At 37.4% G+C, this 17,286-nt stretch overlaps 1 protein-coding gene across 6 annotated transcripts in view; it reads right to left on the minus strand.

Moving 5' to 3' along the window:
* The window catches only part of SATB2 (SATB homeobox 2), a 201,767-nt gene that overhangs the window by 120,556 nt on the left and 63,925 nt on the right, over window positions 1-17,286 (minus strand). Inside the window, exons 4-5 of one of the 6 annotated variants that reach the window (NR_134967.2) lie at window positions 7,475-7,785; window positions 5,776-6,951 (exon numbers count right to left, since the gene is read on the minus strand). The exons of the other annotated variants lie outside the window; for them this stretch is intronic. The gene's annotated coding sequence lies outside the window, so the exon portion shown is untranslated. Of the gene's footprint in view, window positions 1-5,775; window positions 6,952-7,474; window positions 7,786-17,286 lie in introns of those variants that run through there. 6 annotated transcript variants of the gene reach the window in all.

A 17,286-nucleotide genomic window follows, 5' to 3' on the forward strand; every position in this document is an offset into this window, starting at 1 on the left:
AGTAACTAGACTAAATTAATAAAGACCTTATTGAAAAAAAAATGGAGAGGGAGAGAACAAAATTATTCCACAAATTAAATAAAACTTTCTGAAGTTAGCATTTCAGAAATCTTTATTTAATTTTCAGAATTCCAGTTCTTCTGTAAAACAGCCAAAATATTGGTCAGGATATGAAAAAAAATGTGGTTGGTGTTTAGTTATTTATTTCATAAAAGTGCCATTTAAAACTATTACATGGAGGAATAAGACAAATGAGAAAGAAAAGTGTGATGAGAAATTATTTGGGGTTGGTTCTAAACTTCTGTCACTGGTTAAAAACCATTTCATCCAGTACATATTTTCTTATTGTTGTTCTAAGTTTAATCATTTTCTAAAAGAGTTTTAAATTAAAAAACTCATGGTGGCAGGTAATGCAAAGAAGCTTCTTTTTTCCTCCTTTCTATTCGGAAATACATTTGCATAAAGAGATTTCCCCCTAGCATTTGTCCCCCTAAAATATCTTCAATAATCAAAGACACAAGCGAAAGAGTATACTCTTTTAAACATACTTTGCTACATTCTAGCAGATGCTATTCATAACTTATGTTTAGCCAGTGTTTCTGCATCCTCTACGATGAGGTATCCACTGAAGGTCTAAGAATACAGTTGCCTCACATCTTTCACATCCTCATTAATTATGTGTATTCTTTTCAAATGTTGCAATAGGTTTTCCTGAGGACCTGGCTTTCCAGGTACTCCATGTCTAGGTTCAATATCCCTGGAAACTCTCTATCAATTGCATGCTCCCAGTTATATATTCTAGAATTGTCCTCCAGGCATATTGTGTTTCCTACAGTTTACGGTTACATAATACCTAATCTTAGGGGCAATATTATGATGGCATGTAGATTATCAAAGAAAACGTCACCATATATTAATAATATGAAGGCAAACGTATATTCATTTATGTTGTACATTTTTATTCATGTTCCAACTAACCTGATTTCACAGTAATTCACTAAGAAACTACAATACACAGAAGCAACTACGGCTATAACTGGTAGAAGTGGCAACTGCTTTTGGTTTGAAGATTTTGGGTTTTTGTTTTTGTTCCCTTTAGAATATTTTAGGCCGGGCGCGGTGGCTCACGCCTGTAATCCCAGCACTTAGGGAGGCCGAGGCGGGTGGATCACAAGGGACAGAGATCGAGAACACGCTGAAACCTCATCTCTACTAAAAATACAAAAAATTAGCCAGGTGTGGTGGTGGGCGCCTGTAGTCCCAGCTACTTGGGAGGCTGAGGCAGGAGAATGGCGTGAACCCGGGAGGCAGAGGTTGCAGTGACCAGAGATTGCGCCACTGCACTCCAGCCTGGGCGACAGAGCAAGACTCCGTCTCAAAAAAAAAAAAAAAAAAAACAAAAAACAAAAAACGAGTATTTTAATATATTTTACTTTCAGTGTTCATATACACATCAGGGACATTTTCATATATATGTTATTAAACCTAATGCACACAGCTTCAGATGTTTTACATTTAAAGATATTCTGACAGTTCCTTGATTTACATTTTTTGGAAATGTCATATTTAAAGGCTGTAAACCAAATTTTAAAATATTCCGCTACCATTTTAATGGCCAAAAAAGAAGCCAAGAGTCCAATACACAGGAGGTGTTCTCTCGGTAAGCAAATGTTTCTCTAATTGAATCAAAAGTAGACTTACAGTCACAACATACATGGTGATAAATAATGACAATGGCCTATTTGAGCCCCAAAAAATATTCAGCAATGTCAGAAAAAATGCCATATAAATTAATGGGCAATGGAACTGTGGTAGAGTTAGAGGCTATTCCCCTTGCATGTCTAGTTATCCTGTGGCAGCTGGACCACACAGTTAGAGATAATCTGGAGGGTAGAAGAGATCACAAATGGGTTGTTTTTCTCTCCATTCCCAGGAATTTGCAGATTACTAAGAACTATGGTGTTTGGAGTGGTCAGATTAAGTAAATGGGTTCCAAGTTCATCTGTAGAGCAGTCACGGGCCTCATCCTGGCCTCTGAAACAAAAGCTCCAGGGGTAGATCCCAGGAGATGCTGGTGATAAGCCAGATTTGGACATCACTGCCCAGCGTGCCCAGTAAAAAGCAAGGACTGGGAGCATCTAGATTAATCCACTAATTCTCCTCAAAAGAGCAGAAAAATCAAAATTCCCAGATTCCTTTTTTTTTTCCCTTCAATTCACTGGCAAATCTCATTACTGTTGCAGAGAAAGAGGAACATTGTAACATTTAAGTAGGAAAGTAGGGCTAAGGTGCACTGTAACTGTGTTTTATTTCCTTCTAAGTGTGAAGGACTTGGCATAGGCTGAATAGACAATACCCAGGAAAAAAAAAAATAGTTTCTTGTGTATTAATAAACCTGAAGCTTTTTTTTAAACCATATTTAGACTATAAACCACCAAAAGGCAAAGGTCATGTCAATTTAACTTGTTCTAACAACTCTGGCTACAGCCCCATAAAATGAGGATGCCTAAAATACAGTGGGTGTGTGTATGTCACATACCCACTTTTGTTTGAAGAGCAGCAGCCTGGCAATCAAGAGATCCCAGATCTTGGATCTGCCCTCTGTTGGATGCAGCTCTGCATCTGTGGATAACTCGCTTACCCTCTCTGGGCCCCTATTTTCTCTTCTATAAAATGGGGAGTTAAAAGCTAAAACAAGAAACAAACTCCCCTGCCTGACTCACAAGATGGTAATTACAATAAAATAACATGAGTTAAAGTGCACTGAAAATTATAAAGTCCTGTATAAACATATGTTGGCATTAATGAATTGTAAGTCAACATAAAAGAGGTAAGCATTACATTTTTTAGGATGTTTTTAAGGGAAAGTTGCCTTTACTTAAAGAAGCAAAAACTTGGATCTTCTAAAATGTCACCTGCTAACACGGCAAGTCATCTGACATAGTCCAAAAGACCCTAGGATAGGAAATTTGTCCTAGCTTACTGACTGGGGCCACTTATTCTCTTTGAACCTCCATTTTGCCATCTGTAGGAGTGTCCGCAATCAGAGAAGGCATCAGGGACCACCCACCCTCTGCTACAAATGATCCCAGAGAGCCTCTGCACTTAAAAATATTTGGCACCTTTATTCTTCACTAGACTGTAAGTTCCACAGATAACACGGTGCCTGGCAGATGGTAGAGGCTCACAGATAAGGAAAGAAGAAAAGGAGGGAAGGAGGGAATGAAGCTGGAAGGGATGAAAGGTCACTGTGCCGTGGCCAGTGGGCAGTGCCAGCTTTCTTTGCAGGTTGACCTTGTGCTCTCAGACCCTTCCCCAGCATTCTGCCAACCCCCAACATATGGAAAAGTGAGCGCCCATACTCTTGGTACCCTGGATATCCAGGAAGACTAGCCCAAGAGATGTTCTAGACACCTGATAATGGCACAGAGAAGAGCCTCAATAGCTGAAACCCTCAACCAAATCTTGTGGAATCCACTACAGTCCCAGAGACTTACTGATAATCTCCATGGCCCCTTGCAGTTCTGACATTCTAGATCAAAATGATGCCCCAAAACTTTGGAGATTAATAATGATAGCTTTGATTACTGTCATTTTAAAAACACACTAAGGCTTCAAAACTGGAAATAAAGTCAACATTGAATTGGTTGATTGATTTTTCTGCCATTAAAGTTCTACTTTTCTTTAAAAAAAAATGGCAAGCATCCAGCTTTTTGTTTCTCAGGAAGGGCTCATTTTTAAAATTTCAAAGTATAGTAAACAACTTCTAAATTCAGGATAATTGAAGGTCTGCCAGTTGGTGAGCAAAACAACAATGGCTTTCAGATCAACCGAAAAAAAAATATGGCTCAATCAGGTTTTTTTAAACTGAATATCATCCAGCCGACTGCACTTCTTCCTAAAATAACAAAAGCTGCTGCCTACTGACTACTAATGGACTTCTCTATCTAAATAAATATAATTGTATTCATTAGTTCTTTATGTTAAAATTATTAAAGAGTAACTTTCCCCAGGACACTTTTATGTTAATGAAAGACAATAACACAATCATTAGGACACGATACTCTCAGATCAATTTTGCATTTGCATAGTACCCAATAGAATAGTTTATATACCTGCACAAATAAGTAATCCCCTCTTCTTAAAGATGTATTTGTATATGACCAATGAAGCCCATAGCATAAACCACATAAATAAATAAATTTAATTTGCTCAGGAAGAGTGATGCTGAAAATTGGGAGCAAGATACAAAAATCTCAAAATTATCTGATTATAAATACTAATAAATACCCTAGGAATCACTGATATATGAAGACCCTCCACATGTCGACAAGATTTACTTTTATTCAGAGCTTTAAGATATAAAACCCGGTAAGAAAGATAAGAAGATGGCAAGAACTGTATGAGAGCTAATACTGTAGATTTCTATTACATTCTATTAGAAAAAAGGCTGTGGGCCAGGCTCTGTGGCTCATGCCTGTAATCCCAACACTTTGGGAGGCTGAGGTGGGAGAATTGCTTGAGCCCAGGAGTTGGAAACCAGGCTGGACAACATAAAGAGAAGCCCTGTCTCTGCAAAAATAAAAATAAAAATAAAAAGCCAGGCGTGGTGGCACGTACCTGCAGTCCCAGCTACTCAGGGGGCTGACAGAGTGAGACCCTGCCTCTAAAATAAGTAAATAAATAAATAAATATAGACAAAAGCCTGCAAAGGGGTCCCAAGAGCTAATCTGTCATATGGATTTTTTTTAATTCAACCATCCTTAAAATAACTTAAGTGGTGTTTCATTTTGATTCTAATATATCACCATCAACTTCCCACCTCTAAAAGGAAGGAAAATCACAAATCAAAATATATTTAGTCACTCAGGCCACTAACTTAAATGAGAAAAAAAAAGATCCATTTAATCTCATTTCATGTTGTTTTATTTTGTTTTGCTTTCATTATTAACATACACATTCTATAATACATGGGGAGAAAAGCATGAAAATATTCACTAGGATAAGACTGATTTCCTTCATGTCTAATTTTCTTTTTTTTTTTGAGACGGAGTCTCACTCTGTCGCCATGTCTAATTTTCTGAATACAGATGAGCCTTTGGATACTGATGACACCTTAGTGGGCCCCAGTTTACCTCTACTCATTTTTAATTGGTTCAATCGTGTTTTATCATAAACACCTTATAATAATCCATCAAGAAATTGGGCATTTAAGTTTATCATGGTATTATTATGTTGCTACACTAGAAGAAAGTAGTTGACCAAGTTACCCAATATTACATTAAAATTAATTTGTACCAGAAATAAAGGGCAAGTCATTAATTTTTAAATTCTGATAACAGTTTCCAGTATGAGTCAAGGTAAGTTAAATTTTTGTTAAGTTAAAATGCCCATGAACATTTCTTTATCAGTTTGTGGTTCTTGCACACTTGGACACATCTCAAAACTGGTCATAATCAACCAGAAACCACCTCATTCATCTAAGCTAGCCTGGTGTCTGACACTTAGTAGACACTCAAAAAAAAATGCTTGTATAATAATATTGAAACATGATGTTCTAAGAACTGTAAGAGTCCAAAAATGATTATAAATTTCTTCCCCAATCACATCTATGTGACAGATAATTTTAGCTTTAACTGATTTGTACTTTGCCAAATAAAATTAAGAAATAGGAAACAAAAGCTTTGCAATTCTTGCCCTTGCTATCAAATTACTTGAAGACACAAAATACTGGGTTGGGGTAGTATATTCAATAATGCTTCTAATAAATCAGAATAAGGCCTTTAAAAATAAATATTTTATTCATCCATAAACCACTTAATGGGAAGCAAACCCACGTAAAAGACTTTCGTATGTATTTTGGGTGTAGCTACTTCTCTCTCTGGTCTGTCCATGATGATGCAGAATGTCAACTGTTAAATGTGTTTCTTACTCCTCCATGGGCAAGAAATAATTTGGGTTACAAAATGACTTCACATGAAACACTGCTCGTGCTAAAGCTCCAGTGATTTTCAATATGGGCTAAATTAGGCAACTGACAAAGCTGACTTTACTTTGTATAAGTCTTTAGGCACCCAAATCTGCAGATAGGGCCCAATTTGTCTTTTTGAACTTCCAGTTGCTGCTTAGTTCATACAAACCTCTAATTCTTTTCCCACAAAATACAATCATTGGTACCAAAATATTTTCTTAAAAATGTATTCTAATAGAGTCATAAGAGATGCTTGATAGTTCCATATTTATTGTCTCCATTATCTTTTTGGAAGATAATTAATGCTTCACCCAGGGGCACTCAAAATGGCTATTGGAATTATCCAAAAATTCAATTGCCCAGAGTGGATATCCTTATATAAACATTCATTCTGGATAATTTAAGATACTTGTTATTACAAGTGTAAGGCCTACAGATGTGTTTACAAAAATGAGAATAACATTTTGCATTTGGAATGTAGAAGAAAATGACCTCTCAAAGTAGCTTCGGTATAAAAGGAGGTCACGGTCCCACTGGTCTCTAAAAACCACGATGTCCTCAGAGAGGAGCCAAGTGAGGATGGAGGAAATCATAAATGCTGAGGGTAGTCTGCCTCAGGTACACACTGAGAAACTGCTTTAATGTAACCTGACCCACGGTTATTAGTGAAAATATCACTTTTGTTGTTACCTTATTCCCAACAAATTCATTTCTGCTTTAATGGAAAAGATCCGGGTTCACACTAATCAGGCCCAACGGAAGGCCATATTAGCAATTTGGCAGGTACCCGAGGGCCATACCTAATCTGCATAAAATGAAGCAGATTGCAACCGCCCTCATCTTTTTTATTTTTAAACTGGTTTTTGAAGCAGAGCATAAAATCTCAGAGGGAGAGACAGAAGATGCTAGTGCATACATTTTCCTTCATGCCTTTATTTTCATTCTTTTTGCACAAACCATCTTCCTGAATGGCTGTTTACCTAAAGAAGAATAACAAAATAAAAGGTGCTAGGAAATGGAGTAGGCAGAGATCACAAATGTTTAATTAAAAAAAAAAAAAGTCATGTACTTTCATAGATATTCACAATCCTCTCTAGTATACTTTCAAATCAGTTTTAATTTCAGTTTAGTGTTTTTATGTTTTGTGAAGATACGCTACACAGAAATATACCTTGAATTTCGGAAAAGGCTGCAGCTAGCAGAGACTCCAAATCTAATAATTATTGTTAAATCTATGATATGCCTAATAGAGAAAAATAGTATATTAAATATCACCATTATCATCTCAACACTGGCTTCTGCTATTCACAGAATAATTTAAAGTGACAGTGCTCTTTATATCCAAAGAATTTATAATCAAAGTCATTCAGTTCAAGTATGAGTGAATCTGAAAAATAACTCAACAATAATGAATAGTAACTAATATAAGCCACACAAAATTTGGGAAAAAAGAATAAACACACAAAGCTAAGTGTATCAGATAATTTTTTAAAATAGACTTACTATAGGTCTAGAAGTCCCAAAGGAAACCATGATGGAAGAATTTGGCTTTTTTTGCTTTAGAAAGATATATGAAAGATGGCTGGGCGCGATGGCTCACGCCTGTAATCCCAGTACTTTGGGAGGCCGAGGTGGGCATTTCACTTGAGGTCAGGAGTTCCAGACCAGCCTGGCCAATATAGTGAAACCCTATTACTACTAAAAATACGGAAATAAGCCAGGCATGGTGGCGTGCTGCTGGATTTCCAGCTACTCCGGAGGCTGAGGTGGGAGGATCCCTTAAATCCAGGAGGCAGGGTTTGCTGCTCTCCAGCCTAGGCGACAAAGAGAGACTGTCTCAAAAACAAACAAACAAACAAAACAGAAAGATATTTGAAAGACAGTAGTTTAGCAGAGTGCTATGGGACAAAAGAATGTTACAAGTGAAATGGTTCCACCTTAAAGAAGTTATATTTTAAGTACATTTCATTTACCTTGTCAGGATGTTAGAATTAACAACAAGAAATAAAGAGTGACTAGTGGTTTGTGGGAAGAGGGTAAGAGGATCCTGAAGTTGCTTCTCAGGGCAATGAGAAGCCAATGTAGACTATTAACACATGATTAAGAAATACTAATCTATCAATAAAAAAACAGACACATGTTTTCCAGACTAGAGAATCTGGGTCATAGGGAACTGCTGAATAACCTGGGCCACACAGGAACGAAAGACTACTGCAGTAGAAAGAAAAAACAAAAAGAGGATGAGCACTGGTAACCTTGGAGAAAACAACAGAATCTGCAGATGGGCAAAACAGAAAAGCAGGTAGCAGAATACATACCCCCAAAATATGCTCTTTCTCATATTGATTATTTTGAGTTGAAGACAATTGAAAAGCAGATACAGATGCACACGTTAATAAACTTCTATTTGTTTTCCTCTTGTTAATCTGTCTTTTGTCATTCAATTTATAGGGTCCTGGGTGGAGAATAGCTCTAGGGGGCAGAAGAAAACATTAAGTTTTTCCTCCCCTACAGTATAAAGTTTTGAATTAGAATCAGATGACCAAGTCACCCACACTCAGTGCCTCTCGATCTCCTTATCTGTAAACAAGATGATGATGGCCTCCACCTCAAAGGGTTTTTGAGGACATTAAATTAGGTAATATGAATTTGGGTTCTCTATAAGTTTTAAACATTTAACCAAATGTAAACTACTATTATTGTTGATGTTACAAAGAGTAAACACAATAATAAAGAGCTAAAATGACTGATTTCTTATTTAGAATCTTAGAAGATTCACCAGGTTTGACAAGTGTGGAAATAAAAAAATAAAGACTCACAGAATGAAGACTACTATTTTTTCTAACAGTGGGTAAGAGAGTAACTCCTACGAGCTAAGTAAATCTTCTAATAAACTGAATTTGAAGTGGTGCTGAACAGCCAATCTTTGAACTTCTAAAGATAAAGATACAGGTAAGATTTAGGCTGGGCACAGTAGCTCATGCCTGTAATCCCAGCACTTTGGGAGGCCAAGGTGGGCAGGTCGCTTAAGCTCACAAGGTCAAGACCAGCCTGAGCAACATGACAAAATCCCATCTCTACAAAAAAATATAAACACTAGCCAGGAATGGTGGTGTGTACCTATAGTCCCATCTACTCGGGAGGCTGAGGTGGGAGGGTGGCCTGAGCCCGGGAGGCAGAGGTTGCAGTGGGCCAAGATCCTGCCACTGCACTCCAGCCTGGGTGACAGAGCCAGACCTTGTCTCAGAAAAATAAAATTTAATTTAATTTAATTTAAAAGATTTTACAAAGTAGAAGAAATTCATGTTTGATCAGGTAAAGACATAGAACTATGAATTCTTGGGAGTGAAAGCCATTTTGTAATTTCCTAGTGTGGAGAGAAGTGCTTTCCAAGTGACTGCAAAGACCCTGCATTTGTAAGTTCTTGCTGCATGCCAGACCCTTTATCATTGTATTAATTTTCACAAAAATCCTACAATATATGTATTAGTCTGTCCTCACATTGCTACAAAGAAATACCTGAGACTGGGTAATCTATAAAGAAAAAAGTTTCATTGGCTCACGGTTCCACAGACTGTACAGGAAGAAGCATGTTGCTGGCATCTGCTCAGCTTCTGGGAAAGCCTCAGGAAACTTACATTCATGGGGACGGCAAAGGAGGAGCGAGGCAGCTCACATGATGGGAGCAGGAGCAAGAGAAGCGGAGAGGTGCCACACACTTTCAAACAACCAGATCTCACGGTAACTCACTCACTCACTCACTATTGAGAGAACAGAAGTTGGAAATCCACCCCAAGATCCAATCACCCCCTACCAGGCCCCACCTCCAACATTGGGGATTATATCTCCATGTGAGATTTGGGCAGGGACAACACTGAAACTACATCAATATAAATATTAATGTCTCCATTTTAGGTTAGAATAGATGACTTGCCTAAGGTTACAAGGATGTTAAATGGCAGACACTGGGATCCAAGTCTGCCTGACTCCAAAACTCATATTATCTTCCTCAGAACAAGGTACTTCTTATCCTCTGGAGAATGCTGCTTAGCCTTTGAGACCCAACTCAAACAGTACTTCCAGAGGGAATAGCACTTTTCCTATTCCCTCCAAGAGAATTAATCGCACCACACTTTGTATTTACTCATGAGGTGAAAAACTATACAATTCATGTGAAACCTCCTTTCCCCATTAAAATGCAGGCTACTCAATAGAGCTCCATCTTAGACCTCCTTGTTGCTCTAGCACTGAACTTAGCACCTGGCATAAAACAGATATCCAATAAATATTTGGCAAATGAATACCTAGAATTTAAAGACTCCAAATTGCCACCAAGTAATATGATACCAATTCTTTTATGCTGTTATTTTTATTAGCCATGTGTATTTATTGAGGGCCAACTATGAGCCAGGTGGAGTTGCACTAGGTGTTGTGCCATCAACACATTTATACATTATGCCATTTAATCTTCACATTATTCCTTTAAAGTAAGATCCCCATTTTAGAGATGAAGCAAAAACCAGAAGCAAAAAAATGATGAAACTATTTGCTATTTGCACTTACGTAATAATGGTAAGACAATGATTATAATATCATGAATGAAGAGTCTATTTGTGGCAAATACAGAGCTAAGATTTAACATCCTTTAATTTTCACAACAAACCAATGAGGTAGGTGTTATCATGACATTTTGCAGATGAGAACACCAGGGGACAGTTTTTCGAGATTACACAGCTAACAGGCACCGTAACTATTTAAATTCATATTTTTGACTCCAAAGCCCACATTCTTTCCACTATACCAAGATCTCTTCTATATTATGCTGCTTAAGTCTGTCTTAAATACCTGAGAAATCTCCAATTGATTATTTAACCTACATTGGTTATATTTTACAAATGAGTCGGTAAGAATTAAAAATAACAGGTGTGGTAGGCAAAAGGAGGTCCAGGGATGTAGGCCTGACTCAACTAATTCAATCAGGTGTATTTTGTTGGACCCAAAATACCATATATATCTTTTGAACATAAAAAGCTGTGCCATGCTAATATTCTCTATCACTAAACTTTCTCATTCATTCATTCAATATTTCTGGAGTGTTTACCCAGGCTAGACATACAGGATGGTGAACAAGATCGACATGGTAACTATACTCATGAAACTTAGGTCTACTTAGTCTCACCAATAAGAAAATATATAATTAAAAATTTAACAAGTGCTAGGAATGAAAATAATAGGATGAGGCTGGGAACGGTGGCTCACACCTGTAATACCAGCACTTTGGGAGGCCAAGGCAGGCGGACTACGAGGTCAGGAATTCAAGACCAGCCTGGCCAACATGGTGAAACCCAGTGTCTACTAAAATACAAAAAAAAAAAGATTAGCCAGGCGTGGTGGTGCGTGCCTGTACTCCCAGCTACTAGGGAGCCTGAGGCAGGAGAATTGCTTGAACCCGGGAGGCGGAGGTTGCAGTGAGCTGAGACGGCACCACTGCACTCCGAGCAAGACTCTGTCTCAAAAAAAAAAACAAAAAGAAAGAAAGAAAATAATAGGATGTTATGAGAAAGAATAATCAGGTAGTCAGGGAAAATGGCCCAAGGGATTAAAAAATAATAAAATAACCTGCCTTGCTAAGAGTGGTAAAAAGAGGGTGCTAGGCAGAAATATGGGGGAAAAAAATGTGTGATGGTCATAAAACCAGGAAGTCTGGGCAGGGCTGAGAAATTCAAAGAGGCTGGCAGTAAGCTTGGAGAGTAAGTGTTGCAGATGCAGATCAGAAGAGATTAGGAAGAGCTTTGCAGATCACCGCAAGTATTTGTATTTCACTCTAAATTAAACAGAAAACCCAGGAAGGGTTTTAGGCAGATAAATGGCATTATTTAGTTTCTGTATTTAAGTCATCATTTAGGTTACTGGGGGAGGCTGCCCTGAAGTGGATCAGAAGTAAAAGGCAGAGATACCAGCTAGGAAGCTGTTGCAGTGAGCCAGGTGAGAAGAGAGGGCCACCTGGACCAGGTAGAAGCAGTACAGGTGAAAAAAATCAGACACTTCCAAATCTTCCTCAAGATTTGATACATTATTGGCTGGGCACGGTGGCTCACACCCGTAATCCCAGCACTTTGGGAGGCCGAGGCGGGTGGATCATGAGGTCAAGAGATTGAGACCATCCTGGCCAACATGGTGAAACCCCGTCTCTACTAAAAATACAAAAATTAGCCAGGCGTAGTGGTGCGCACCTGTAGTCCCAGCTACTCAGGACACTGAGGCAGGAGAATCACTTGAACCCGGAAGGTGGAGGTTGCAGTGAGCTGAGATCACGCCACTGCACTCCAGCCTGGGTGACAGAGCGAGACTCCATCTCAAAAAAAAAGATTTGATACATTATCTAGCCAGGCATGGTGGCAGGTACCTGTAGTCTCAGCTACCCGAAAGGCTGAGGCAGGAGAATCGCTGAACCCAGGAGGTGGAGGTTGCAGTGAGCTGAGATCGAGATCGTAGCACTGCACTCCAGCCTAGGCGAGAGAGCAAGACTCCGTTTCAAAACAAAATAAAATATTTGATCCATTATCACTGAGATCCTTGGCATTAAAAAATCAATTGCATTGAAGGGAACATGAAAGTTTCAAAGGTACTAATAATGTTCTCTTTCCTAAGCAGAGTGGTAGGTACAAAGGTTTTTGTTTTATTATTCTTTAATACTAAACATATACATTATACATTACTTACATTCTTTTGTAAGCAGAACATATTTCATAATAAGACATTTAAAAATATCAATGCTATGGGTTTTAAATGACGAATATCTTAGAACACTCAGATCTAACAGTCTTGTCATTTCAGGCAGGCTTTATAAATCCCTCAGTTTGACCTTTCAATCAGGACAATGAAGCTCTTCACCAGCTCAAATTCTAATGAAACAGGTATATTCTAAGTCCAGGTTAACTGTAATAACAAGAAAACTAAGTTAAACTTAAAATCTGAAATTTGACAGTGTTAACACCTTAAATGTCAGTGAAGATCAATCATGAATTTGTCAACCAGGCATAGAATGCAGACTTTTAAAATTATTGTCTATTATCCTAGTTAATGAATCAAAAACATAGAATGACACCCACAAATGTTTATTAAAGAGTTATTGATAATATTTTTAAAATTCTAAACAACCTGTGTAAAACCAACAGAATGGTTCTGTAAATTATGTTATACTCACACAATCAGCCATTACAAAAGGATTAAAAATTAATGCCATGACAAAATGATTAATATTGTAATATTAAGTGAAAAACTTATTGTATTGTATAATATTGTATATTGTTGTATAATATTGTATAATATTGTAATATTAAGTGAAAAACTAAGATATATAGATAGCCAATTGCCTATAAGGAAAGAAAGAAAAGAGACTATGAGGGGCATAAAGCAGATTTTAACTTTATCAGCAAAATTTTCAAGGTAAGAAATATCTTGGGTCACAGGTAACACCAAGGGGGAATTTTATTTTATCCTTCACATCATTTTGTATTTTTTATATTTCCTACAATGGGTGTGTTTATTACTTTTAAATCGCTGCTCTTTCCTTGCAAATAAAGCAAAGCAACCTACATGCAAAAAGGAAGCTATTTGCATTCAGAAATCTCAGTTTTTTAAATAAATTCTTGACTATTTTCGGATGAGAAACCCTCCAATTTAGAAATCTTTATATAGAAACATGAACAGTTATAATGTTGCCTAAAAGGATATTAAGCAAGAAAGCCTTGATATTCAAAGTGGCTGGATTGGAACACCAACAAATTAAATCAATCTGGTCGGTTAGCAAAAATTAAGTCCTCTTCTATTCAACCATCTATTTAGCAAACATCTACACAGTGCCTTCTGGGATGGCAGGATATCAACCTGACAAGGAGGACACAGAGAATCAGAAGTCAATCTGTCAATAAGGTGTTTATTATTCCTGGCTGGAGAAAGAGTAGGTAATGCAAAGACACCAGGAACAAATGAGCAAGTAAATAATCCACATGCAGATGCCAAAGAAGGGCAAAGCAAGAGGAAAGGCCTCTAAACGCTGTACGGAGGAACTTCACTGGATGAGGAAGACTCTCAGATACCCAAGATGACTGCCAAAGGGGACATGTAGCCAATGTCTCCTCAGTGAAAGCAGTGGTAACATCACGTCAAGAAAAGAGGCAAGGCCTTTCACATGAAAGCAGCCATCATGGCGGCCAGCACTCCTGACTCCCGATGTGGACCTACTCGCTCTCATTTAGCTTAAGTTCTCTCTGTAGAGTGCCTAATGAATGATTATTATGTTAACAGATAGAAGAAAAAACATAAGTGGCACCTCTAATTGATATAACCAATAACTCTCAGTTAATGATTACTTACTGTAATTAAAATAGTGCACATTATTTAAAAGTTTTAACATACCACGGGGAAGAACAATACAAGATATAAAATGGCACAGTATAATTCTGAGTGCAACCATGCAAAAAAAAGCATCATTTAAATCAGAGATTATTCATTTACCATATATTCTTAGCATAAGGAAAGTATATTCATTTAAAAAGTATGAACCCTATGAGTATTGCTTTAATGTTATGTGTCTTTTTAGAAGCCAAAAATAAACAACGTTTATAAAAACATTGTTTTAAACCAAAGGCTGTTAAAAAAAGAAAAAAATCACACAGATCACAAATAAGTAACAATTTTTTAAAAGCAATTCAACATTTTAAATTTTTGCCTCCAAAGTATTATATCACATTGATCAGAATACCAGACTACCCTTTTTATTTTCCTTTCTGGTTATGCCCTTAAAAACACTGTGATGCTTCTAAGAGCTTTAAACTTGTAAATAACCCCTCCCAGAAGCGCAAATCTCCATATCTTAATATCATGAAAGCTGGAACTGTAAAATAAAATCTGTTAGCAGCTGAAATCTTAATGAGGTTCTACAAAGAAGAGGCTTTTCTGCAATGACTCAATGCATGGAAACAGTTGAGTAATTATAAATGCATGGGCTGAATGTGAGTTGGCAAATATAATACCACAGAATGTACCCAGAACTAGGGTTGTCCCAGTTCAAATGAGACTATATTCCTTTACCAGTACAGGCAAACAACTAACCTGAAATGTCTTTGGCTAAGAGATAGGTGTGAGCCCATAAAATTATGTCCCTTGACTCCTCATTTACATGGTGACAATCTGTTCTGGCCCACCAGCAGCCTGTTCAACAACAAAGCACTTCAGAAAGAGCTCTGCATAATATTGGTTTCATCAGACATAATAGAAGCCAATGACAAATGGACTTAAGTGGTGGTTCTCAAAACTTGGGGACATGAGACTCCCCCATAAAGAACTTGAGAAAAATGAAGATTCTGGGATCTACCACCAGGGGACCCAATTCACTAGGTTTATATGAGCCCAGGAATCTGCACTTAAATAAGCACCCTCCAGCCAAGCAGGCTGACCCAGGGAAATACAAGACTAGGGTGTGTGCCCTGGAGGGAAATAGAGAAAGGCTGGAGGGCAAATGCAAATGATGGGTGGAGAAAAGGAGCTGCATTTTTTGGGAGGGTGTATGGGGAGTACTCCACCACTATCACTTTTTCAGGGAAAAGGAAAGCAGTTTCCTCAAAAGTGTTCTCTGAACCTTCACACATATAACTGTAAACTTAGAACATGTCCTAGAAATATTTCAGTACAATTATTCATGGTAAAGAAATCAAACTCCACATGCTTATTTCTGGTTATACATAGTTTTTTAAAAGAAAAAAAAAAGAAATAAAAAAGCTTCAGGGCCAAACTCTCTCAAATCCATTCTTATTTAGAAATTCCAAAAATTTAGGAATGCTTGATTATATGAATATTGCATGGGTCAAGGTAAGTGGAGTGGGTCTTCATTCAGTCCATGGGTTCTAGACTCACAGATTCAACAACCCTGGATTAAAAATTTTAAGTAAATAATAATAATGCAACAATATAAAATACAAATAAAAATACAGTATAACACTTACATAGCATTTACATTGTATTAGATATTATAAGCAATCTAGAGATGATTATTTAAAGTATACAGGAGGAGGTGAGGAGGTAATAGGCAAACACTATGCCCTTTTATGTAAGATGGACTTGAGCATCCTTGATATGTTGATATTCAAATGAGTCCTGGAACCAATCCCCCTGGACACAAAAGGATGATTCTATTATTATTATTCTCTGCTTACCATAGATAAAAACCAGGCAGAGTCTTTATAATTAACACACCTAAACATGGTAGAAAGTTAAAATGGAAACACTGTGAAACCTTATAGTTTTATAATTTTGTTTCCACAATTTTTATTTTTCCCTAAATCTATTAAATTCCAAGCCCTATATGTTAATATGTTTCATTTTTACAATGTGAGATAAACCACAGTGAAATATCTAACTTTGTGAGAAAGCCCAGTGAAATATCAGCATTTTCCACGGATAATCTATCCCACTGGAAAAACAGGTTTCAACAGAGCCTTCTAAGAGCTGCAGGCTGCCCCCATAGTCATCTGGCTTATAGTACTCATCATGGAAGGCATAATATAATAAATACATTTATGAAGGTGAACTATGCTGGGCTTAAATCAGAAGAATAGACTTTTGAGAGACATGAAGCCACAGGTTTCTCTGAGGTACCAAAGACCACTTCTTCTGAAAGGTACAATAAGGGCATTCTGAGAGGACGTATGTATTTTATAGTTTAGGAAATGACACTGAAAAGCTGAAAAAAAAATGGGTGTAATTCCATGGATGAAATCATGTTAGGGGAGATGATTTAAAAGAGTTGTGAAGCTGTGGAAATATTCGTATGATCACAATTATGAAAAAGAAGATAGGTGGGCATCATCATGAGAAATAATAGTAATAAGAGTAACATTCATTGTGTACAATGTCACTTATCATTAAAATAATATCTCAATTAATCCTTAAAACTGCCTTAAAGTAAGGAGGGTTCTTATCTTATTTTACACATGAAGTATAGAAAAGTTGGCTGGGTGTGGCGGCTCACACCTGTAATCCCAGCATCTTGGGAGGATGAGGTGGGCAGATCACTTGAGGTCAGGAGTTCAGGACCAACCTGGCCAACATGGTGAAACCTCATCTCTACCAAAAATACAAAAAAATTATCAGGAGGCTGAGGTAGGAGAATCACTTGAACCCGGGAGGCAGAGGTTGCAGTGAACTGAAATGGCACCACTGTGCTCCAGCCTGGGTGACAGAGCAAGACTCTTGTCTCCCAAAAAAAAAAAAAAAAAAAAGAGAGAGAAGAAAAGAAAGAAACATAGAAAAGT

Source organism: Homo sapiens, chromosome 2 (genome assembly GCF_000001405.40).
Source record: "Homo sapiens chromosome 2, GRCh38.p14 Primary Assembly".
Lineage (NCBI taxonomy): Eukaryota > Metazoa > Chordata > Mammalia > Primates > Hominidae > Homo > Homo sapiens.